This window comes from Homo sapiens, chromosome 7 (genome assembly GCF_000001405.40).
Source record: "Homo sapiens chromosome 7, GRCh38.p14 Primary Assembly".
In the NCBI taxonomy this organism is placed as follows: Eukaryota; Metazoa; Chordata; class Mammalia; order Primates; family Hominidae; genus Homo; species Homo sapiens.
This window is the reverse complement of record NC_000007.14, coordinates 4,098,260-4,121,337: the sequence shown is the minus strand read 5'-3', so window position 1 is coordinate 4,121,337 and position 23,078 is coordinate 4,098,260. Positions and strand designations below refer to the sequence as shown.

Sequence of the window (23,078 nt, the reverse complement as noted above, 5' to 3'; positions counted from 1 at the left end):
GACATGTGGAGATTACAATTTGAGATGAGATTTGGGTGGGGACAGGGAGCCAAACCGTATCACCATACATGCTACAATCAGCTAGGACAAAGGTAAATCCACTTGCTTCTTTTGATACAAAATCTATATCTCAATATTAATTAAAACACAGTAGCATCTACAAAAATAAACAACATCGCTAGAGAAAGTCTCCTCAGGGTTCTTGTGTAAAAGATGATACAAGATTGTCTGAAAAAAAACAAAGTCAGAAGAAAAACCCTGGAATACATTTACACATAAAATATTATCCTCTGCATTCTCTTGACTACTATAAAGATAGGTTTTCAACAGCTGGAAATGTTTGTTTAAAAAAAAAAGAGTCTCAAATCAGCAGTTTTGCCATAGGTTTCTTTCTTTTTTTTTTTTTTTAAAAGAGTGTTCTTGGCCGGGTGTGGTGGCTTATGCCTGTAATCCCAGCACCTTGGGAAACCAAGTTGGGCAGATAACTTGAGGTCAGGAGTTCAAGACCAGCCTGGCCAACATGGTGAAACCCCATCTCTACTAAAAATACAAAATTAGCTGGTCATGGTGGTGGGCACCTGTAATCCCAGCTACTTGGGAGGCTAAGGCAGGAGAATCGCTTGCACCCAGGAGGCAGAGGTTGCAGTGAGCCAAGATCATGCCACTGCACTCCAGCCCAGGTGACAGAGTGAGACTCCACCTCAAAAAAAAGAGTATTATTTGAAAAATTATCAAAACAATATATCTATTTTGATTAAATTGTCTTCATTTTTATATAGCATTTACTTTGCTGTTTTCTGAATAAAATCCTGGAAGATTAGTTTATCTGGGTATAAAATTTGAGGTTGGCAGTTATTTGCTTTTAGCTCCTTCGAGATTATTATCCCATTGTCTTCTGGCCTCTGTTGTTCCTGAATAGTCACCTCAGTCAAATGGTCTTGCCTTTGTGATTATTTGCCTTTCACTCCAATTGTTTTTAAGATTTTTCTCTTTGGCATTTTACAGTTGTAGCAAATACATCTTGGTATGAATTCAGTTTTATTTACTCCACTCGGGATTGGTGTTTCTTCAGTCTTGTAAATAATGCTTTCCATCAACCCTGGAATTTCTCGGCTATTATCTCTGTGTATTTTGTAACTCTCATTTGCTTCCTCTTTCGAGTCCTATTAGCTATGTGGTAGATCTCATTCTGTTCTTCAAGTCTTTTAATCTCTATTTTCAATCTTATGTCTTTATGTTGTTTTAAGAGTTATTTACTCAAATCTAGCTTTTAATTTGGTAATTCTCTTTTTGACAGTGTCTAAACTGCTTTCATTTTCAATGACTGTGTCCCATTTATTTTTTCTAAAAACAAATCTGCTTTAAGAAATGGTACCTTAATCTTTACTTAAAATGTTAACGCTTTATTTTACTAAGACTTTAATAATTTTAAATGTAGTTATTATATATTTCTCTCAGACTTGTATGTATGTTAATGTAATTGAAGCCCTCTATCTTTCTCTCTTTTTTTAAAACTGGTCATTTTTACTCATGGCAAATCATTGCCTGTGTGCTTGACAATTGTGATTCATCTTTAAAAAGGCTTTTTATTTTGGATAATTTGGCTTTGGCAATATCTCTCCAGAGAGGAATCATTTTTGCTTCTGTTGATTGCCCAGATGGTCTGGCCTGAAACCATGTTTCTTTAGTTTTTTGTGTATTTTCTTTTTGTTTTATTTTTGGAGGAGAGTAAAATCCTTTATTGGGGTATGATATGTAACTATTTCAGGAAGAGTTGATCACTGTTTTCCCTGAGGGTAAGAAGATATTACACACAGATTTTCTGGGCCTTCCAACCATACGCAAAGTGTACAATCTATGAGCCATTCTTATTATTTTTTTTAGAGACAGGGTCTTGCTCTGCCACCCAGGCTGCAGTGCAGGGGTATGATCGTAGTTCATGGCAGGCTCGACCTCCTGGGCTGAAGCAGTTCTCCTGCCTCAGCCTCCCAAGTAGCTGGGACTACAGGCATGTGCTACCATGCCTGGCTAATTTTCTATAGTTTTTATTTTTATTTTGTAGAGATGGGGTCTTGCTATGTTGCCCAGGCTGGTCTTAAGCTCCTGGTAATCCTCCTGCCTCTGCCTCTCAAAGTGTTGGGATTACAGGTACGAATCACAGCCCCCAGCCCATACTTATTTTAATAACATTTTATCTGTATAAAATTAATCTCAGGAAGGCTGAGCTTTTTTTTTAAAGCCTTATTGTGAGATTATTAATATATCATACAATTCCCCTAAATTGTACAATTCAACATTTTTTAGTGAATTCAGAGTTGTGTAACCATCATCATGATGAACTTTGGAACATCTCATCATCCCCAAAAGAAGCTCTGTTTCCATCACCCATCACTTCCCATTCCTCTCAAATGCTCTCTCTTAGTCTAGGAAACCATGAATTTACTTTCTGCCTCTCTAGATTTGCCTATTCTAGATGTTTCCTACAAATAGAATCACACAATATGTGGTCTCTTGTGCCTGGTCTCTTTCACTTAGCCTAATGTTTTCAAGGTTCACCCACACTGTAGCATGTATCAGAATTCCATTCCTTTTTATTGCTGAATCATCCATTGAATGCATAGACCACATTTTATTTATCCATTTGTCAACTGAGTGATATTTTGGTTGTTTCCACTTTTCGGCTACTATGGATAAAGCTGCTATGAACATTTATGTGCAAGATTTTGTGTAGACATATGTTTTCTGCTCTCTTGGGTACATACCTAGGAGTAGAGTTGCTTTGTCGTATGGTGACTCCCTGCTCAACCTCCTGAGGAATGCCAACTGTTTTCCAACGTTTCTGAATCATTTAATATTCCCACCAGCAACGTACAAGCATTCCAATTTCTCTATGCCCACCAATACCTGTTATTGTCCAACTTTTCTTATTTTAGCCATCTTATTTTAGGAGTGTGAAGTGGTATCTCATTGCAGCTTAGATTTGCATTTCCCTAACAGTTAATGATGTTGAGCATGTTTTCATGTGCTTGGTGGCCATTTGTAAATCTCCTTGGGAGGAATGTCTATGCCGATCCTTTGCCCAGTTTTTAACTGGGTCATTTGTCTTTTTGTTGTGAAGTCTTTATATATTCTAGATATAAATCCCTCATGAGATACATAATTTGCAAATATTTTCTTCCATTTGGGGAGTTTTTTTCATTTCCTTTATGACATTCTTTGAAGCATAAAGGTTTTCATTCTGATGAGGTCTAATGTATCTACTTTTTCTTTAGTTGCTCGTGCTTTTGGTTTCTGGAACCAAATGTTACATTAATTTCTGTTCTGGGAGTTCCTGGGCCATCCATATAATGCAAATTCAAAACCCAGTCCTGAGCTGGGCACAGGGCTCAGACTGACTTTTCATTCTCTACTCAGAGTCCAGGTAGACATACAGTCAAACCTCTGCAGGCAGAGTTTCAGCCTCTCCTAGGAAGGAGGGAAAGGCCTTCAAGAGCCGTGTCTCAACTGCAGGAGTTTAGGCCCTAACTCTTCCCTTACACAGATTCAAAGCTGACTCTCATGTTACTGCATGGCCTGCCCAGTGTATCTACAGTTCCCGGTGGCACCTGCAGACACACTGGATGCGTGCTGGTGCCCACAGTGTGCTGGGCACTGCTGGGCCCAGGACCAGGGTGCAGACTCCTTACCCCAGGTCCTGAAACCACCAGGAAAGATCCAACCTGATCCTATCCCACCCAGGGCAGCTGCGGCACCAGCCCAGCACTTCCTGCTGAACTCTTTCTAGTTCCTGTTATGCCTCTGACACCTGAGGATTTCCCTGTTTTTCTTATGAGTGTGTTGATGAATTCATTTATTTACTTATTTTTTAGAGGCATAATAACCTGCTCCGTTGGCCAGGCTGGAATGCAGTGGTGCGATCATAGCTCAGTGCAGCCTCAAACTCCCAGGCCCAAGCCATCTTCCTGCCTCAGCCTCCCAAGGAGCTGGGGCTACAGGTGCATGCCACCACACCTGGCTAATTTTTGTATTTTTTGTAGAGATGGGGTCTCACTATGTTGCCTAGGCTGGTCTTGAACTCCTGGACTCAAGCTATCCTCCAGACTCAGCTTCCCAAAGTGCTGGGATTACAGGTGTGAGGACCCTGCCTGGCCAATACATTTAAGATTCCAGAAAGTTATATTTTATCCATAAGTTTTTGTTGGTTATGGCAGAAGTTTTAATTCTGAAAAACTATTTTCTTGGCCTGCCTTTTACTGGATTTAGAACTGTCCCTCTGAACTTCTCAAGTTCTCTCCTTTGTCACAAAGATTCAGACAGTGAAGATAACAGAGATTTTTGAAATCCACGTGACCACAATCCCAGGCTGCATGTGGGTGCGTCTCCACCTTTCCTTTGGAACGTAATGAAAGCTTCAGTCTGAAGGAGAGCCGAGGGACACTGGGCCCAGCCCTGCTGCTTGGGCAGTTCCATCCTGAAACACTGGTCCTCTCAGAAGCACACTGGTTGTCACCACGGCTGCTCTTCCGGGGCTCTCATTGGTGGGCTCCAGGGTTCACGCCACGCCCTAACAGCATTCCCACAAGGCCATGGTTCTGCTTCTCCCTGCTACTGCTTAAGAGTCCTCCTGTCTACCCTCACCTCCTGCCCTCTGAGAAGAGTAGGAAGAAATAAAGCCACAAAGTGGCACAGGAGCTTTGGCTTGGTGCTGGTGGCTGAAAGTTAACCAGCATTGAGGAAACCCAGGGGGCTTCTGTGCATTGCAACCCACTGTGCATTACAGTAACCTACAAGGGTGGCGGCAGGTTCAGACCTGTCACCAACGGGACCCGGGGAATGAGCAAGAAAGGATGAGAGGAGCCTTTATCCAGAGCTTCCCAGGCCCTTCCACGCTGTGGCACACAGAGCGGGTGGCACGTGCAGATGCACTGGGCACGTGCTGGTGCCCTCGGTGTGCTGGGCGCTGCTGGACCCAAGCCCAGGGTGCAGACTCCTCACCCCGGCCTGGCTGTCTCGAGGGTGGAGGGGTGGTGTTGGGAATACCTGCACCCATTGCAGCACCTGGCACGGATAAGATGAGCATTAGGAAGAGGTGAGGGGGTGGCACCGCCCAGGGCTCCAAGTCCCCTTTCCTTATTGCTGGGAGCTGATCTGCGTCCTCACTCCAGCTGTCCTCAGAGGCTGCCCTCCCACCTCGGCACCACCTTCTATGTTTCCCTCTTCATCTTTAGAGCAGACAGGCCAGGCCCGGGAGCCCTGGGCCCCCCAAGTGTCTATGCTTTCCTCCCTTTTAAACTCCTCTGTCCTGAGGATGGCAGCCCCCCAAAGCCACCTCCACCCATGCCAACAGGCCTTGTGCCCCCACGTCATCCGCCTCCTCCTGCTGACTGTGCGAGGTTTTCTCTGATACCCGTCACGCACTTGGCTTCCTAGCTCATCTTTCTGTCCATTTCCCATCAAAGTCACTCTGAGTTCCAACTGTGTCTCCTAAGGCAGTTTCCAGCATCTAGCAAGTTAATTAATTTTTCTACTGAAAACAACAACAGGGGGACTGTCTCTTTGCACGGCATTGTAGTACAGGGACAGAAGCAGGGAGGCTCTGGGTTGCAGAGAGGGCAGATCCGGGGCATTTCCGAGGACTCTGGGGTGGAAACAGCTGTGGGCAGGCCCTGGCCATCTCTTGACTCCCCAGCTTCAAGAGCGATTCTGTGCCCTGGGAGCCCCAAGGAAAGGAGGACTCATGCTGGGCTCAGGAGCTGTCTCCAGGAAACAGAGCCATGTCTACGACAGCAAAAACAATGGAGCCAAATATTCTCATTAACGCAGAGAGTCAGAGAAGAGAAGCAAAAGAGAGCGAATAAGAGGGTTTGACATCAATAAGCAAAATGGATCTAGGCTCCCTGGGGGAAGGAGTGGGGGAGTCTTGTTCTTTTCCTCTGGCCACTGACCCAGTTCACCATCTCAACCCTTCATACCTCCTCCTCATCCCATGTCTGGACAAAGGTCAGGAATTTAAGTTGTATTTCTAACAGCCTAGGTTAGTCCAGAATGAACAGCCCCTCCATCTGTCAAGCACAAGCTGTGACTCTCATCCAAGAAGCCTGGGGCAGAGGTGCAGCTGGTTCATTCCTTCTCCAGACAGAACCTCACTAATTCAGATCAGACTGAAGGGACCGGGGTCAGGTGACAGTGAGTCCTTCATGAGCGTTAATTGCCGTCCTTCCTTTGGGTTTCTAAAAATTTAAGGAGGGGGGCAAGAAAAGCTCCTATGACCCACAGTTGGCCAGCGGAAGTTAGTCCACAAAGCCCAGAAGATTAGGCAGCCACTTTCAGCATTAGCACAGGGCAGCAGAGGTCTGCTCAAGGTTGGCCAAAAACACTGCTCCATTGCTTCCTGGCAACTGGCAGAGCCCCATGACTGAGCCCCAAGAAGATGAACAGAGTGACGTTCCACTCCTGAACAGGTCTGAAGAGGTCCATTCTTTGCCTTCTTTTCCCTGCTGGCAGCTGGGTGCAGAAGGAGATTAGTCCCACAGAACGGTAAAGCCTGGGTCCCTGAATCACCTTGTGGAAGAGAGCCACCCGCCAAACAGGAACGCCCACCTTAGACCACAATATGAGTGAGAAGTAAACTCCTATTATGTTCAAGCAATTAAACTTTTAGAGGCCTATTTATTACCACAGGCTAGATTACTTAACATACTACGTCTATTAATTTGTGACAAGAAGGTCCTGAATACCTTGTATTTTAAAGATTCCCCATAGGAACTTTACACATTCTTGCTTTTCATCGTTAGCGAAAATTATCCCTAATTTAGAAAACAGTAATGTGAGTCGATCCCCTGTTGGAAATCATCACCAGTTTCCAATGAATGGCTTGGGGCCCTAATGAAATCAGACAGAAATTCCTGCCGAGTCTGGCCAAACCCGGGATTAGGAAAGCTCCAAGACAGACACAAGTGGGACAGGCCAATGAGACGCCACTAGCCTGGGATCTGGAGGCTCAGGGGCACTCAGCCCCATCTCTAATGCGGTGTCTCCAGGATGGGAATCGCCTTCCCCTCACCTGACTCCCGCGTCCGGCCCCGCACCACCTCGCTCCACGGCCCAGCCCCGACGGCGTTGAAGGCCTGCATCTGCAGCTCGTATTCCATCCACTCCTCCAGCTCCTCGATGGTGAATTCTCTCTCCAGCCGGTCACTGACGACTTGGGCCACTGCTGAGGACTGGAGGTCTGAGCGCCAGTACTTAATCCTGTAGCCCACGGACTCGGGGTTCCCGTTGTACTGAGAATCCGGCAGGGGCTAGGAAGGAACGAGGAGTCGCGATGAGCTGACATCTCAGAACTGCCACCCTCACGGGTTGTAAGGGATGGGCCTGCCCTGTGAGGCCAACTCCGTGGAGGAGGTGTTCCTGGGGGAAATAGTCTTAGAAGGATCTACTTTATTCTTCCCTGAAACTTTTGTTCTGTGAATTAAATGAAACCCTGTCAGTAACTTTGGCTGCATATAATTTCTTTTAATACATTTTGGCTTAATTTTGTGGGCAAATGTTCTGATTAAATATCAGGCTGGCTCTCTTACAAATATTGAGTATTGGTTCCATGTTGACCTAGCTTAAGGACTTAGAGTTCTGGTGTGAGGCACCCCCAGCTTTCCTGCCCCAAGGAATATTCCTCAGTTCCAAGAAGAGAGTGAGTAATGCTACTAATTAATCAGATCTCCTGGGCTGGCCTGAGATCCAACACTAATTGTAAAATGCAATACTTTTTGGTTTGACGATGAGATTAGTTTTGACTAGGACAAAGGCGTGACTAAGAAACTCCTAAGCCCTGGATTAGTGTGTGCCCTGGCTCACTCAGGACCCGTGTGCCTCCAGCCTCCCTTCTCACCCCCACTCACCACCCAGCGAAGCCGCAGGCTGGTCTCACTGGCAGTACGGACCGTGACGCTGGTTGGAGCCACGTCGGGTGGGGCCTGCAGGGTCTGGATGACCCGGGAAGACGGACTGTAGGGGCTCGGCCCAACAATGTTCACTTGCTTCATTCGAAATCTAAAGGAAAAACCACTGATGAGAGTCACGGCAAAGCAAAGGTAAGAAGGAAAAGAACGAAACCACAAAGGCGCTGACTGTTTCTCAAGGGAGGGCTCAGATAGGTGTCTACTCATATCATAAAGGCTATTGCTCAAGGACACCCTCTTTTCACCTGGTTTCATTAAAAGTGCAAATTGTGGCCAGGTGTGGTGGCTCACACCTGTAATCCTAGCACTAAGGGAGGCCAAGGCAGGCGGTGGCGGGGGATCAAATCCCAGCACTTAGGGAGGCTGAGGCAGGAGGCAGCGGGGGATCACCTGAGGTGAAGAGTTCCAGATCAGCCTGGCCAACATGGCGAAATCTCGTCTCTACTAAAAATACAAAAATTAGCCAGGCGTGGTGGCGGGTGCCTGGAATCCCAGCTACTCAAGAGGCTGATGCAGGAGAATGGCTTGAACCAGGGAAGCAGAGGTTGCATGAGCTGAGATGGTGTCACTGCACTCCAGCCTAGGTGACAGAGCGAGACTCTGCCTCAGAAAAAAAAAAAATGCAAATTGCATATGTGCCCTTTTTCCCCTAAAAGACTTCAAAGAAAGGTACAGGTACATCAGTTGCAACTCAACAATTTTAAATTTGCAAGTGAAATCTAGTTGGATGGATTGGGTGTCCAGAAATTGATGTCATCAGTTGCCCTGATTCAAGTTTAGGATAACCTCGAGGGGTTAAAGTGCAAGTAGCTATGGGACAGAATTGGAATATCAGGATGTCACTACCAAAGGGCAGTTTTGAAGTCCAGCCTTTTAAATGATCAACGGCACTCTGCATCTCTTCTTCTGTTGGTTCAGGAGAAGAATGAGGGGTGAAAGGAAAATATCTTGAACCCCAAATCACTAAGCTACAAGGAAAACGCAAGCTGCGTTAGGGCAAACCTGCTTCTCATTCTCTTCAAAGTCATCCCTCTGCTCACTGAGATCAATGCAGATCTGATGGCCTCCTTTGGAAAGGCTCATCAGAAACTCAGAAGAATGGGACCCTTTGTCTCTCACCTATCTGTGACCTGCAAGCCCCCTCCCTGCTTGGAGTCTTCCTGCCTTTGCTTCAAGCTTTCCTGCCTTTCCAGACTGAACCAATGTTCACCTTGCATATATTGATTGATGTCTCATGTCTCCCTAAAATGTATAAAAGCAAGCTGTGCCCTGACCACCTTGGGCACATGTTGCCAGGATCTCCTGATGCTGGGTCACGGGTGCATCCTCAACCTTGGCAGAATAAACTTTGTCAGGTAACTGAGGCCTCTATCCGCTCACACCACACTCTGTGATTCCATCCAGTGAGTAACTGTGAGACTTACAGCAAATCAGATGATCTCCGTTTCCTTAACTATAAAATGAAGGTGGAGTTCAATGTTCTCTAAAATCTACAGGAATGCTTTCAGTTCTGTCTCTTCTTTACACATACATAAACAATTATTTGAATTCAATTTACATACTAGAAAAATATCCCAAGTATGCACATATACATTTACTATAGAGGTTTCCCCAAATGTACCTGAGTTTCAGACAGGGACACTGATCTCTACTTACAGTTTCTGTTCTTTGAAATAACTATATAGCTTCAGTTAATTTCACATGGTAAGTCTTGAATCCCAACAGCTCATTTTAAGCTAAATGTTTTTCTTTAAAACCCAGTGTATTGTGTCCTGATTTGTCTGTTCTAAGCTCCTGAAGGATGTTAAAATGAATAGAAGCTAAATAGCATCTCTCATTGTTTTTTTTTTTTAACTCTAACTTTGGTTTTGTGCCGGAAAGAAAAATTCTTCATAAAGATGTAATTTCACCTTTTAGTCCCTGAATTACTAATTCCTATTCTTTCATTCTCCAATCGTATGAAATGTTCCATCCTGGCAGAACAATGACATTATCAAACTCAACATCTGGTGATAACTGGAAATTCCATCTCCTTCAAAGGCCTTACGGGAAGTGATCACAGTACTAACAGCTCATAATCACCCTACCCTTTGTTAAAGCCAAGGATTTACTGCCCGGATCAGTTTCGGGGTTCAAGAAGCTAAAGGTTAAATGGCATGTTAATTGCTTGATAAGTGAGACTAGCAGCTCCTGGGCCCTGCTTGGGAAGGGGAGCAGAAGGATCTTCCTAGGACATCTGCTTTGTTTGCACACGGCACGTTAATAGTCCCAACAGGTTGTGGAGTTTGGTAAAGTGCCACATCTCTGCTGCCTGTGGTTCTTGGTTATTCAGCCTAATATAATAACAGTGGGCCATTTCTATGGGGTGTTTTGCCAGCTGGTACTGATAGAAGGAGCCTCATGAGTCTAACATCTGCCTATCATCTCCCTTGGAATAACACCAAGCTATGCATCCCGCCTGCTCCTTAAGGCTTTTAGGTACTGTTATTGCCACTAGGAAACATCTGATTTGCATACGTACGACTGGGTTTTACTATTGCCAACAGAAGGCACCTGCCTGGGCTGCCAGTGTTTCCTCCTGTAACAGCTTATCACTGCTGTTCTCACCTGTAGTGAGTGTAGGGTGTGAGGTTTGGGATCTCCAGCATCTGGGCATCAGGCTCATTCTCCTCTTCATAGAGGGTGACCCACTCCTCCTCGTCGCCGATAGCTCCCACCTGTGCAGAGGGAGACACTGAGATGGGCTGGACATGCCTTAGGGACTGAGGCTGCCATGTAGACCATGTGCACCTGCTGGTACCTGGTGAGCTGGGCAGGGCTGCAAGGCGTCCCCACACCTGGGACAAGTTGAGTCCTGCACAACCCCCTCTTGTGCCTTGGAGATACAGGCTCTTGCTATGCCCACCATCAAGTCTGGGTGAGTTTTAGTCAAAAGCTCACAGTCAAGAACTGGGCCACAGAAGGACTGGACCCAAACAGTGAAACCCCTGGGAACAAACCTCTGAGGGCTTGGAGGCCATCAGTGATGGAGGGGACCTTCCATACCATCTCATCCTTCCTCCTGTTTGACAAGTGAGGGCTCAGAGAAAGCCTAGAGAGGAAGACTTGGCCAGGACCATGGTAAGCAGTGACAGAGCTGTGGGCACAGGCTGGGGGTCCAGCTTCGACCCCAACCCTTTCTGCCCCAAACACACACCAAACAGACACCATTGCTGGCCCACGGCATAAGGAAGGTCCTTAGGCAGGGAAGGATGAGTCTTCTGCCCTGGAAGCCAGATCGGCAGGCCCAGTCCCCTTAAGATTTAAAGAAACTGCCTCCTGGCAGTGTTGACGAGGGAAGAGCCACTCCCTTCAACAGAGACTTGCCTTTTCCGGGTCTGCTGGCGATGCCTGCAGGGTGCCCTCCAAGTTCCCCAGCTTCTTCCTCTCCCGAGTCTTTGCTCCTGCCCCATGGTCTGTCTCGTGCTAATTTTACTCCCTGTCTGGGAGCTCCACACCATCTCCCTGCTCAGTAGCATTTTCATTTCCCCTAATCTGACCCCGAGCCCCACCTCTCACTCATCCTTGTGCTCTTAAGAAACCCGAGTGCCAGTGCCGCTTCTACTGCCACTGCCCCAAGCTGACCACGTCCCTCTCTCCCCCTTGATGGTGCCACACAAGCTGCGCCAGCTAGGGAGCCACGGGAGAGACAGCCACGGCCTTGTGCCCACCAGGAGAGCCCTGGAGCTCATCTTTGGAGATCTCTGCAGCCCCATCACAAGCAAACTCTGGTTTCGTGTGGCCGTGTGGCTCTGGGGGACCCAAGGGACACAGAGAAGGCCGGCTGCAAGCATGGAGAGCATGTCAGGACAAACTGGCTGCTGGAGTGGGATTGGCCTGGGGCCTGGTGCATTTAACACTTCGTAAGTGGCTTAAATGACAGGATAGGAAACGTGCTCACTAAGTGTGCAGAGGAAACCAAGGTGGTGGGTGGCTAAGTCTTGGGAGGGTGGCAGGAGAATTCAAAATGACCTTGGTAAACTGGCGACACGGATGCAGAGGAGACTGTGTAAGCAGGCATGCTGGTGGCTTGCTTCCTAGAGAACTCGAAAGGCAAAGCGCAAAACTCTCAACGCTTTCAGCTGAAAACATCCACATGGTCAGTGGCTCCTCCAAAAGCTACACACAGTCACCGCATAAGCCAGCAACTCCGCCCCCAGCCACTGACCCAAGAGAACAGACAACAGGTGTCTTAACAGATACCTGCAGGCACATGCTCCTAGTGCACTAGTCACGACAGTCAAAGCCGTGAACAAGGCAAACGCCCAGCACTGAGTGGATAAACAAAAGGACTCTGCACCATGGAACAGGATTCAGCCATAGAAAGGAACAAAGCACCCACACCTGCTACCACATGGACAAATCTCAAAACATGACTGATGGAAAGCTAAGCAAGCCTGACCCAAGGTCCATGCACCGCACGATTCCAGTTTACGAAATGTCCAGGATCTTTCCATCCATTGAGACAGAACGCAGGTTGGTGGTTGCCAGGGGATGGGGAGAGGAGGGGATGGGAAGTGACTGCTATTGGGTATGAGGTCTCTTTGTGGCATGATAAAAATGTTTTGGAACTAGACAGATGTGGTGGTTGCACAGCACTGGGAATCTACTAAGTTGTGAATGGTATTCTTTAAAATGGTTAATTTTATGTGAGGTGAATTTCACCTCAACGAAAAAAAGAAACAATAAAATGAAATGTAGAATGACCGGCCAAAATATTTGGTAGAGAACGAGCTGGAGGTCAGCGTAGATAATGAATACCCCGGAAGTCGGCAAAACCACAGGGTGGTGTAATTAGGAAAAGACTGTGCAGCTTGCACAGCCAGAGGCAAAGGGGGCAAGTCCCCTGGCACCAAAGTGAGCCAGTTCTCAGCACTGGGGTAGACATCAAAACCCTCATATCCTCACTTCAGCCAAAGTGAGCCAGTTCTCAGCACTGGGGTAGCCATCGAAACCCTCAAATCCTCACTTCAGAGACACAGAAAACAAGAGTTATGTGGATAGATTAAGGTTCCACAGAACACTCATCTTGGAGAAGGGAAGGGTCTAGGCGAACCTGGGGTTGGACTAGCTCTTGAGTCAGACAGGACTGAGGCCTCCCTATCCCCCATCAGGGCCCATGGCAGCTGCCTTCCTCCATCGCGTCTGTGAAGAGGGAAAGGACCCAGGAGCACAATGCTGAGACTGGAACCATCCAATCCTGATGGGCAAAAAGAGAATGAACTTCACGATCCGGGGATCTCAGAGGAGCTCACTCAGGTTGGCTTGAAAGCTCTGGCCCCGGCACAGTGTCTAGTGGAGAGGAGCCGTGCGATATTTATCTATGCAGCTGATGCATAAATGGGCCCACCCATAAGCTAGGAAGCCGGAGGATATTATTCCAGCCTATGTTACGCTGAAAGAAGCTGAGGCCCAGAAAAAGAGTGATTCATTCAAGGTCACCAAATGTTTGTCACACATCGGCACAGCTCACGACACCTTACAGGCCTCCAGGTAATGGAGAACACGCACCACAGCACAGAGGGAAGGGCAAGCAAGACGAGCTGCTCAGGCTTCCGTGGGAGGCCCCCGGCTGCCTGGGCAATGTCTCAGGGGAGGAGATGGGGGTCGTAGGCGGGCTGGGACCAGATACTGGGGAGTGCGGAGGACCAAGCCCCACATTTTTTCAGTTGGATTTTACTGGGTGCAAAGTGCCTCCGTGTTGAATGCTGGCCCTGTGGCATGGTTTAGCGGTTTCAGAGTCCTCGGTGACTTAGGTGGGCTCCTCTTAGTGAAACCAGTCCTCTGGGTGTTAAACCAAAGCACTGGGCGATTTCATGGAGAATACGTTTTGTTTGTTTAAAAAAAAAAGAAGAAGAAAGGAAGAAAAAGGGATGACTTCCATTTCAGGCCGTCAATTTAGCACCTTTTATCAATCACGTATAAGCACTAAGGAAAGAGCCAGCAGTCAGGGCGCACGTGGCTCACGTGCGTAGCTCACGGTGCCAAGTGACCGGTGGGCGCTTTTCCCGGCAGCCTCCTGCCTTCCGGGTCCTTGCCTGGTCTGTGCATGTGTGAGGGGGAAACAGACGCCTGGCGGGTTCAACTTACTCTCAAGACCCCAAGCTGCACTGCGGACGCTCATTCACCTTTGCTAAGCGACTCCAGGTCTCCTTCCTCTGGTTGGCCCCTGCAGCCCCACCCTCCCCACCCTCCCCACCCTCCCCACCCTCCCCACCCTCCCCACCCTGGATGTGTGTATTCGGCTGCCTGAGGGAGAAATAAACAAGACTGAGGAACGCTGGGGTCCTGGGCGGGGGCTCTGCCTAGAGCTCCCTGCCCTCCTCTGGCCTGGATGCTCGGCATGTATGGATTCAGTCTGTCTGGCTGCTTTCCTGGCCCCAGAAGCATTCACCTGAGGCCTGGGGGCTTCCTGACCCTGTGGGCTCCCTCATCTTGTTCAGGCACTGGGCACTCAGGGCAGGCTCTCAGCCACAGGGGCTGCTGCGGGGTCAGCGGTGGTCAGGGCAGTAGCTCTGGGATTCAGGGCTGTTCCACCCCCACGACCAAGAGGAACGAAAGAGAACCAGTAAGGCCCGGGAGGCTGCCCGGGAGAGAAAGGCACGCGCCGCGTTGAGAGAGCAGGAGAGTGGGGGAAAGCACAGCAAGAGGCAGCCAGGCTCATCGGGTTTCTCTGAGAACGCCGGGCGTGCGGCTCCCTCTGCAGAGATGCTGGGAAACCACTGCACGGTCACAAACGGGGGCTGGCCGGGCGCGGTGGCTCACGCCTGTAATCCCAGCACTTTGGGAGGTCGAGGTGGGTGGATCACAAGGTCAGGAGATTGAGACCATCCTGGCCAACATGGTGAAACCCTGTCTTTCCTAAAAATACAAAAAAGGCGTGGTGGTGGGTGCCTGTAGACCCAGCTACTTGGGAGGCTGAGGCAGGAGAATGGCATGAACCCAGGAGGCAGAGCTTACAGTGAGCTGAGATCATGCCACTGCACTCCAGGCTGGGTGACAGAATGAGGCTCCGTCTCAAAAAAAAAAAAAAGAAAGAAAAAAAAGAAACGGGGGACAGTGGGGCGGCTGATCTCCACTTCACTTCATCCTTTCCCACCAGGAGAGCCTGAGGAGGGAGCCATTGCTAGGCCCTGTGGCCATTCTCCATGAGATGACCCCCTCACCTGCCTTCTGAGCAGCGAGTGTCTGGTTATCTACAGGGCTGTTGTTTTGCTGAGCATAAAACAGTTTCAGGGCCAGGATCAATGGATTGGGAAAAGGGTGGACCACTGAAGGTGGCAGCCAAGGTCAAACTACCCTGCCCTTCCCGCCCAGTGCCTGGTCTCCCTTTTTGAAAGATGTCGATTGGAACAGGTGCCAAATGATTGGGGAACCCAGGCAGGTGCCACATGGCTCCATTAGGCTCTGCCTGCACTTCCTCCTGCAGCCGCGGTTTGTCATTACCTGGAGGCATCACGCAGTCTCCAACACCTGTCCCCCTGCACCACTCTTCCCCCTCTCAGAGTGTGTCTGCTCCTTCCACCCCTCCTCTCTGCAACTGGCTGACTCCTTTGGAATCTGGAGAGCATCCGGGCCTTTCGGAAGCCTCTGAACAGCATCCCTCTTAGCCTCTCACTGCCCCTGCCAGGCTGCCAGAATCTATGTCCTAATTCTGTACTCCTATACCCTCTTCAGAGTACCCCCAGCACAGTGCAGATCACTGTCAAAGCATTCATTTAAAAACACAACTCCCAGGCCAGGCGTGGTGGCTCACGCCTGTAATCCCAGCACTTTGGGAGGCTGAGGTGGGTGGATCACGAGGTCAAGAGATCAAGACCAGCCTGGCCAACATGGTGAAACCCCATCTCTACTAAAAATACAAAAATTGGCTGGGTGTGGTGGCACGTGCCTGTAGTCCCAGCTACTCACGAGGCTGAGGCAGGAGAATCGCTTGAACCAGGGGGGTGGAGGATGCAGTGAGCTGAGATCATGCCACTGCACTCCAGCCTGGCGACAGAGTGAAGGTCCATCTAAAACAAACAAACGAACAAACAAAAAACAAAAAATATAACTCCTGGCCAGGCGCGGTGGCTCACACCTGTAATCCCAGCACTTTGGGAGACCAAGGCAAGTGGATCACCGGAGGTCAGGAGTTCAAGATCAGCCTGGCTAACATGGTGAAACCCCGTCTCTGCTAAAAATACAAAAATTAGCTGGGCATGGTGGCACATGCCTGTAATCCCAGCTACTTGGGAGGCTGAGGCAGGAGAATTGCTTGAACTTGGGAGGTGGAGGTTGCTGTGAGCTGAGATTGTGCCTCTCCACACCAGCCAGGGTGACAGAGTGCGACTTCATCTCAAAAGAATAAATAAATAAATAAAAACACAGCTCCTGGGAGACATGGCAGGAGGATCTCTTGAGCCCAGGAGTTCAAAATCAGCCTGGGCAACAGAGGGAGACCCCATCTCTACAAAATAATTAAAAAAAAAATTAGCCAGGCATGGTGGCACAGCCCATAGTTCCAGCTACTCAGGAGGCTGATGCAGGGGGATCATTAGCGCCCAGGATGTCAAGGCTGCAGTAGCTATGATCACACCACTGCACTCCAGCCTGGATGACAGAGTGAGACCCTGCCTCAAAAATAAATAAATAAATACATACATGCATACAAATTCTCATACAAATATATAGTGTGTGTCAAAGATTTATTTCACTCATTAATGAGGAACTAGTAAGATGGTAAAACTGGTTCGGAGGGGAATATATGTCAAAGTATGTAGAGTGAATGAAAGAAAGAATGCTCAATAAGATCAAAAAGTTAGAAATAAAACCAGCTATGAGAGCAATATAACCGTGACCTCTGGCTTTGCAACTTACAATCTTCTATGAGGTAGCATCCAACTTCACAGAGTCTGGGCCAAATCAACAAACAGTAAGTCAAACACAATTACCTTCTTTAACGTGATGGCCCCTAGCAGGTTTATTAAAGCAGGCTCTAGGCCAGGTTCAGTGGCTCACGCCTATAATCCCAGCACTGTAGGAGGCCAAAGCGGGAGGTTTGCTTGAGTCCAGGACTTCGAGACCAGCCTGGGCAACGTGGTGAGACCCCATTCTCTATAAAACATACAAAATCTAGCTAGGTGTGGTGGTGCATGCCTGTAGTCCCAGCTACTCTGGAGGCTGAGGCAGGAGGATCGCTTGAGCTCTGAGGGTCTAGGCTGCAGTGAGTGGTGATTATGCAACTGCACTCCAGCATGGGCCACAGAGGGAGACCCCGTCTCAAACACAAACAAGCAGGGCTCTAGTACTGCAGTCAGCAAACTCCGGCCCAGGGGCCGAATCTGGCCCACTTCCTGTTTTTGTAAATAAAGTTTTATTGGAACACAGCCACTGTCACTGGTTTGTGCGGCTGCTGGCCACTTTCATGCTTTTGCAGCCGAACTGCGGAGCTGGAACTGAGAGCGTCTGACCTGGAAAGCCTCAAGTATTCACTATCGGGACCTTTACAGAAAGTGTGGCAAGCCCTGCTGGAGCGCACCACCCCCACGGCACTGACTCCTCCTCGGCTGCTGAGTCCTCTCACCACATGTGTCATCACTTCTGGCTGCTTGTGGACTTGCCCTGAGGCAAGGTCAGGGTCTCACGCATCCCTGCACCTCCAGCATCTCTCCCAGGGTCCAGCCTCAACTTGGTGTTTAATGCATTAACGAATTTACAAATGAACATGCGAATGATTTAAAAATCAGTACTGAAAATGGGTTGCTTTACACGGAGCTCCAAAACAGATGATCACCAAAAATGTAACTACACTTAGCGACCTCTAGGGGAGAAACTGAAATTTCTATAATAAAAGGTTTACATTTTTGTCTGGAGAGACCAGGACTCTTTTTTCGTGAGAGACAGGAGTTCTTTAACCCTGGCTGGGCTCCTCTGGCTCTCTAGTTAGATTTCAAGGCCAAGAAAGAATGTTCTAGAAGCAACTGGGTGCTCACTAACAATGTGCTGATGTAGAGGGAGGCAGAATTCTTTAAAGATAAAACAAATCAAAGCTCTGTGGGGGGCCGGGCGCGGTGGCTCACGCCTGTAATCCCAGCACTTTGGGAGGCCGAAGAAGGTGGATCACAAGGTCAGGAGATTGAGACCATCCTGGCTAACATGGTGAAACCCAGTCTCCACTAAAAATACAAAAAATTCTCTGGACGTGGTGGCGGGCGCCTGTAGTCCCAGCTACTCTGGAGGCTGAGGCAGGAGAATGGCGTGAGCCCGGCAGGCGGAGCTTGCAGTGAGCCGAGATCGCACCACTACACTCCAGCCTGGGTGACAGAGTGAGACTCTGTCTCCAAAAAAAAAAGCTCTGTGGGGAAGCCGGGATTTTGAACGGCTTTTTTTTTTTTTTTTTTTTTTAACTTTTTTTAAGGCTAATAAACAGTACTTTATGATATTTCGGACAAAGGCAGAAATGGCATCTATTTCAAATGCCACCCGGTAGGGGCGGTCCTTCAGGCCCATTAGGGGAGCTGTCTGTCTGTTATACCCACGGGGATGCTGCCGCCCGCCACGCAGCCCCAGCTTGCCCACTCCCAGGTCTGGCCGGGGTTTGGCGCCAGTGGGCCAGGAGGCTTGGTCTGTTTGTGCACATGAGATCCGGCCTCTGGAAAAACTGGTGGAAACTGGTGGGCAGGGCAGGACCAGGAACACCCCTGCTGGGAGGCTCTGGTGGCCATGGTGAGCTCAGCACTCCGGAGGCCAGGGTCAATGGCTGCTCAGAGGAGAGTCATTAACCTCATCCCAAAGGTAATTCTGCACATGGAGAGGAAGCAGACAAGGTGCAGCTGCGTGTGGGGAAGGGAGGAGGGACGTGAGGAGGTGGCCCCCCTCCATCCAGAGCTAAGAGGAGGAGAAAAAGATGCTCCAGAACCCCTTCCATGGAAAGCTGCCAAGCCAAGCGCACCCTGCCTGGCTGAAACTCTGGTGTCAGCAGGAAAACTTGCACGTCTAGCAACTTCCACAGACACTGAGTACCCCTGCTTCTGACGGCTCCTCCCCGTGCCCACCACAGCCAAATGAAACCTCCTGAGAGGAGGTGGCTGGAGGGCCCCTGCAGAGGGAGGGACAGATGGGGGCTTCTGGTAAAGGCACAGGAAACCAGGAAGGCCCAGAGGCCAGTTCCCTCAAACAAATCGCAGAGTTTGCACACCTCATAAGCCGGCAGGGGACTCGACGCTGTGCTGCGTTTATCTTCACTCCCAAGGAAGCTTCAGGCTTTGAATCAGCCCAGCTCTAGATTCCCAGCCCTTCCCTGGGGACTTCTGTCTTTCCGGGTTGTCGTTTGTTTTGTCTTTCCTGTTTAATATTCTTTGGATCTTCAGAGGCAGAAGGGCTGTGGAGTGATGGGCTTTGTTCCCTGATCCTGAGCTCCATGCTTGGGTTCCTGGGGTGCTGGCTCTCTCGATCTCCCTCCACTCCCCATCTGGCCCTTTCTCTGACCCTCCTGAGTGTGTCCTTGCCTCCTCTTTCTTCTCTCTTGCATGGCTTCCTTCCTAGGGCCCTTCCTGTCCCTCCACAAGGAGACAGAGACCTGGGTGCGGGACCTCCTTCCTACCGACCACAGGCAGACGCTTCTGGGGTCCAGCAGCTCACATGTGACAGCCTCACCCCAGAACCGCGATCTTCCTCCCAAGACGGGCTCCGCCTGTGGAAGGCTCTATTTCTGGTCACGACACCATCGTCCTCTGTCATCGAGGGTCAGTGCTCCTTCTGTCACCCCTCCCCTGCTGCACATGGTGGGGTCTCCTCCACAGCCTCTCTTACATTTGCTTGATTTCAGTGGTAGGACCCTGATGTAGAAGCTCCCAACCTCTTGCTTGAACTATTTTGACAGATCGGTGAGTTTTAAAAAATGCAAATTTTTCCGCCGGGTGCGGTGGCTCACGCCTGTAATCCCAGCACTTTGGGAGGCCAAGGCGGGTGGATCATGAGGTCAGGAGATCGAGACCATCCTGGCTAACACGGTGAAACTCCCGTCTCTACTAAAAACACAAAAAATTAGCCGGGCGTGGTGTGGTGGCGGGCACCTGTAGTCCCAGCTATTCAGGAGGCTGAGGCAGGAGAATGGTGTGAACCCGGGAGGCGGAGCTTGCCGAGATCGCACCACTGCACTCCAGCCTGGGTGACAGAGCGAGACTCCGTCTCAAAAAAAAAAAAAAAAATGCAAGTGTCCTTGCTACCTTAAAACAAACAAACCAAAGGGTCAGGGCTGCCCAGCTGTTGGTTTTCGGGGCCCAGGCAAGGCGGCCTCTCTGGCAACCAGTGCGGAGAGCACTGGCCTAAAGGAGACCCCTGTGTGCACCTCCGCATAGGCCTCCCTTCCCCCGTCACGCACCCTGCAGGGTTCAGCCTGGGGCAGGCCTCAGGGTGTTGTGGACCTTGGGGCTCACAGCCACAGGGAAGGAGGGGCAGATGAGTCTGGGGTCCTTGTTAACCCACAGGCCCCCAGCTCATCCATCTCACCCGACTCCAATTCACGGCTCTTGCTGTGCCGAGCGGTCCAGCCTCCCTCTCCAGGCCCAGGGGTGCCTGGTGCCCTCCTACACCACCTTCCCCACTAGGCGACTGTGATGACACTCCACAGACTGGGTGGTTTACAAGCAATGGGAGTTCATTTCCTCACAGCGCTGGGACTGAAGGGACCAGGGGGTCAGCCTGGGTGGGTCCTGGTGAGGACTCCCTTCCAGGCTGGGGATGGCCAAATGCCCCTGTGTCCTCACGTGGTGGAAGGAGAGGGGCACTCATCGCATTGGTGAGGGCTCCACCCCATGACCCCATCCCCTCCTAAAGGCCTGCTGACACCCTCGCCTTGGGGGTGAGGATTTCAGCACAGGAATTGGGGGCACGCTCAGTCCACAGCGCCTGGTGCCTGCCTTAGCTCCCCCTGTGCTCTCTGCATTCTGGCCAGTTTGTTCACATCTCCCAAGTGTGTCCCCCGAAACAGCCTTCCCGCTCAACCCCATGCCCTGAAGGAACCAGCTCCTTCATAAAGCCCTTCTCCTGGAGGCCATGTCTGCCCCCCATGGCCCCTGCCCTAGGAGCCCAGGGCCGTGTCTGAGCTGAGTCCTGCAACCTCCCCATCCGCATCTGTCCCTCCCTCCCATCAGATCTGATCCCTCTCAAGGGGAAACAGGGACGTTGACACTCCCTGTGCCACATGTTGGGTGATTCCCTGCTAATATTTCTAAATTCCTGAAACGCTGGTGAGGACTTCTGCTCCGTTGCCCAGGAAGGGGCGTGAGGAGAGCAGCAGTGGCTCCTCGGCCAAAATCTCTGGGGCATGAGGCCTGGCTGGGCCTACGTTCGAGAGACACTGAGCTCCTGAGACTTCCTGTCCACATAGCGAGGACCACAGTGGTCACCCTAAAGGGCTGTCAAGAGCCCCCAGTGGGACGAGGTCAGCCCCGGACACTCCGGCACATGCCAGCGAGCTCGGTGACCAGCAGCCACGGTTTCTTAGGGGTGCTTTTAGATAAAAACAAGCCAGCCCCCAAGCATGGCCTTTCCCACCAGCTGCGGCTCCCCTTGGGCCATCTCCCATCACATCCCGCTCACACACGCCCCACTCTGTGCCTGCTTGGCCCTGCCCACGGTGCATTAGCCACCACTTCCACTGGACCTGGCACACCTGGGCCTGGCTGGCCCTGGAGAGATGGCCCTCCCAGGGTGAGCCAGTTCCCAGAGACAGCAAGCAGCTCACCTGGAGGTAGTACCTTTTGTACCTAGAGCCCAGTCCCACCTCATCCTCTGTGAGCGCTCACACTCAGGGCTTCATGCCTCTGTCCTGTCACTGGGGCTGGGCATCTGACAGCAGGAACAGCCCCCAGCCCCGGAGCCCGCTGAGACTGTGACACCAGGCAGTCCTAACCTTGCCTGGCCCGGCCCTTCCCTCAGAAGCCACAGCAGAGGCTCCTGCCACAGTCCCCTCCTCCTCTGCCTCCTGACCCACCCGGTGCTTCTGCACATGGCCCTGTGTGGCATTCCCTGCCCCCTCCCCTTGGGATCTGTCAGCAACAAACTGTCTTTCCAATGCCATTTGTCTCTCGATCTGTTGGCATCACCGTTCCCGAATAAAAATAAGATCTATACTTTAAAACGACAGGTGCTGTGCAACTTTCTAACCCTGAGCCTTTCATTCCTCTCTTCTCTGTGCCTGGAATGTCTTCCCTCCCATCGAAAGACTGTGTCCCCTTCAAGGTCCAACCTGAGTCTCACCTCCTCTGCAGAGCCTTCCTGGCTGACCCTGCTCACTCATTTGCTTTCACATACTCCCCTGGCCATAGATCATTACAACAATTCTCACGACTCTCATGTGTACCAAAATTTAGACTACATTTGTGGCCGGGCACAGTAGCTCACACCTGTAATCCCAGCACTTTGGGAGGCTGGGGCAGGAGGATCGCTTGAGCTCAGGAATTTGAGACCAGCCAGGGCCACATAGGGAGACCCCATCTCTGCCAAAAAAAAAAAAAAAAAAAAAAAAAAAAGGGCATTGTGGTGTGCTCCTGTAATCCCAGCTACTCGGGAGGCTGAGGTGGGAGAATTGCTTGAGCTTGGGAGGTTGAGGCTGCAGTGAGCCAAGATTGTGCCACTGCACTCCAGCCTGGGTGACAGAGCGAGACCCTATCTCAAAACAAAAAAAAGAAAAAACCGAGTACATTTCCATCCTCCCTCTCACATCCCTCCTCCTGAAAATTGTGAATTCTCGGAGGGAGAAACTAAAAGGTTTTGACCTTAGTAATCTAATCTGTAGCACGATACCTGGAACAATAAAATCTATAAAACAGTAGGTGCTTAATAAGTGTCTGCTGGGTGAATGGGCGAATGAAGGAAAGAAATATAAAACCTAATGGCTGGAAAAATGAAACACACAGGCAAATCTAAAAAAATCCAACAAGAGAATTAGGATGAAGGAATCGGAGCAGGGAATGGTCCTCGGAAAGAACGGGGAAATATGAGTCTCATAAAATTTAATTTGGTTTGACGGTTGTGATTTATATATACGTTGACCTCTATTTTTCGAAAATGACATTTGTGGTAAAACACTTCCTT

At 49.9% G+C, this 23,078-nt stretch overlaps 1 protein-coding gene across 5 annotated transcripts in view, besides 4 other annotated features; it reads right to left on the bottom strand.

Moving 5' to 3' along the window:
- Positions 1 to 23,078, bottom strand: part of SDK1 (sidekick cell adhesion molecule 1) — a 967,749-nt gene that overhangs the window by 147,663 nt on the left and 797,008 nt on the right. For all 5 annotated transcript variants that reach the window (NM_152744.4, XM_047420038.1, XM_047420037.1 and 2 more), the window contains 3 exons: positions 10,566 to 10,675; positions 7,899 to 8,049; positions 7,064 to 7,301 (listed from right to left, as the gene is read on the bottom strand). In NM_152744.4, the coding sequence (NP_689957.3) occupies positions 7,064 to 7,301; positions 7,899 to 8,049; positions 10,566 to 10,675 (499 nt within the window). The remainder of the gene's footprint in view (positions 1 to 7,063; positions 7,302 to 7,898; positions 8,050 to 10,565; positions 10,676 to 23,078) is intronic.
- Positions 11,702 to 12,203: an enhancer, noted in NCBI's record as "H3K4me1 hESC enhancer chr7:4148767-4149268 (GRCh37/hg19 assembly coordinates)". NCBI's record gives its function as "activates a minimal SCP1, AML or CMV promoter by ChIP-STARR-seq in naive H9 embryonic stem cells {active_cell/tissue: H9 hESC(naive)}" and the evidence as "EXISTENCE:reporter gene assay evidence [ECO:0000049][PMID:30033119]".
- Positions 13,372 to 13,953: an enhancer, noted in NCBI's record as "H3K27ac-H3K4me1 hESC enhancer chr7:4147017-4147598 (GRCh37/hg19 assembly coordinates)". NCBI's record gives its function as "activates a minimal SCP1, AML or CMV promoter by ChIP-STARR-seq in naive H9 embryonic stem cells {active_cell/tissue: H9 hESC(naive)}" and the evidence as "EXISTENCE:reporter gene assay evidence [ECO:0000049][PMID:30033119]".
- Positions 14,536 to 15,118: an enhancer, noted in NCBI's record as "H3K27ac-H3K4me1 hESC enhancer chr7:4145852-4146434 (GRCh37/hg19 assembly coordinates)". NCBI's record gives its function as "activates a minimal SCP1, AML or CMV promoter by ChIP-STARR-seq in primed H9 embryonic stem cells {active_cell/tissue: H9 hESC(primed)}" and the evidence as "EXISTENCE:reporter gene assay evidence [ECO:0000049][PMID:30033119]".
- Positions 18,067 to 18,567: an enhancer, noted in NCBI's record as "H3K4me1 hESC enhancer chr7:4142403-4142903 (GRCh37/hg19 assembly coordinates)". NCBI's record gives its function as "activates a minimal SCP1, AML or CMV promoter by ChIP-STARR-seq in primed H9 embryonic stem cells {active_cell/tissue: H9 hESC(primed)}" and the evidence as "EXISTENCE:reporter gene assay evidence [ECO:0000049][PMID:30033119]".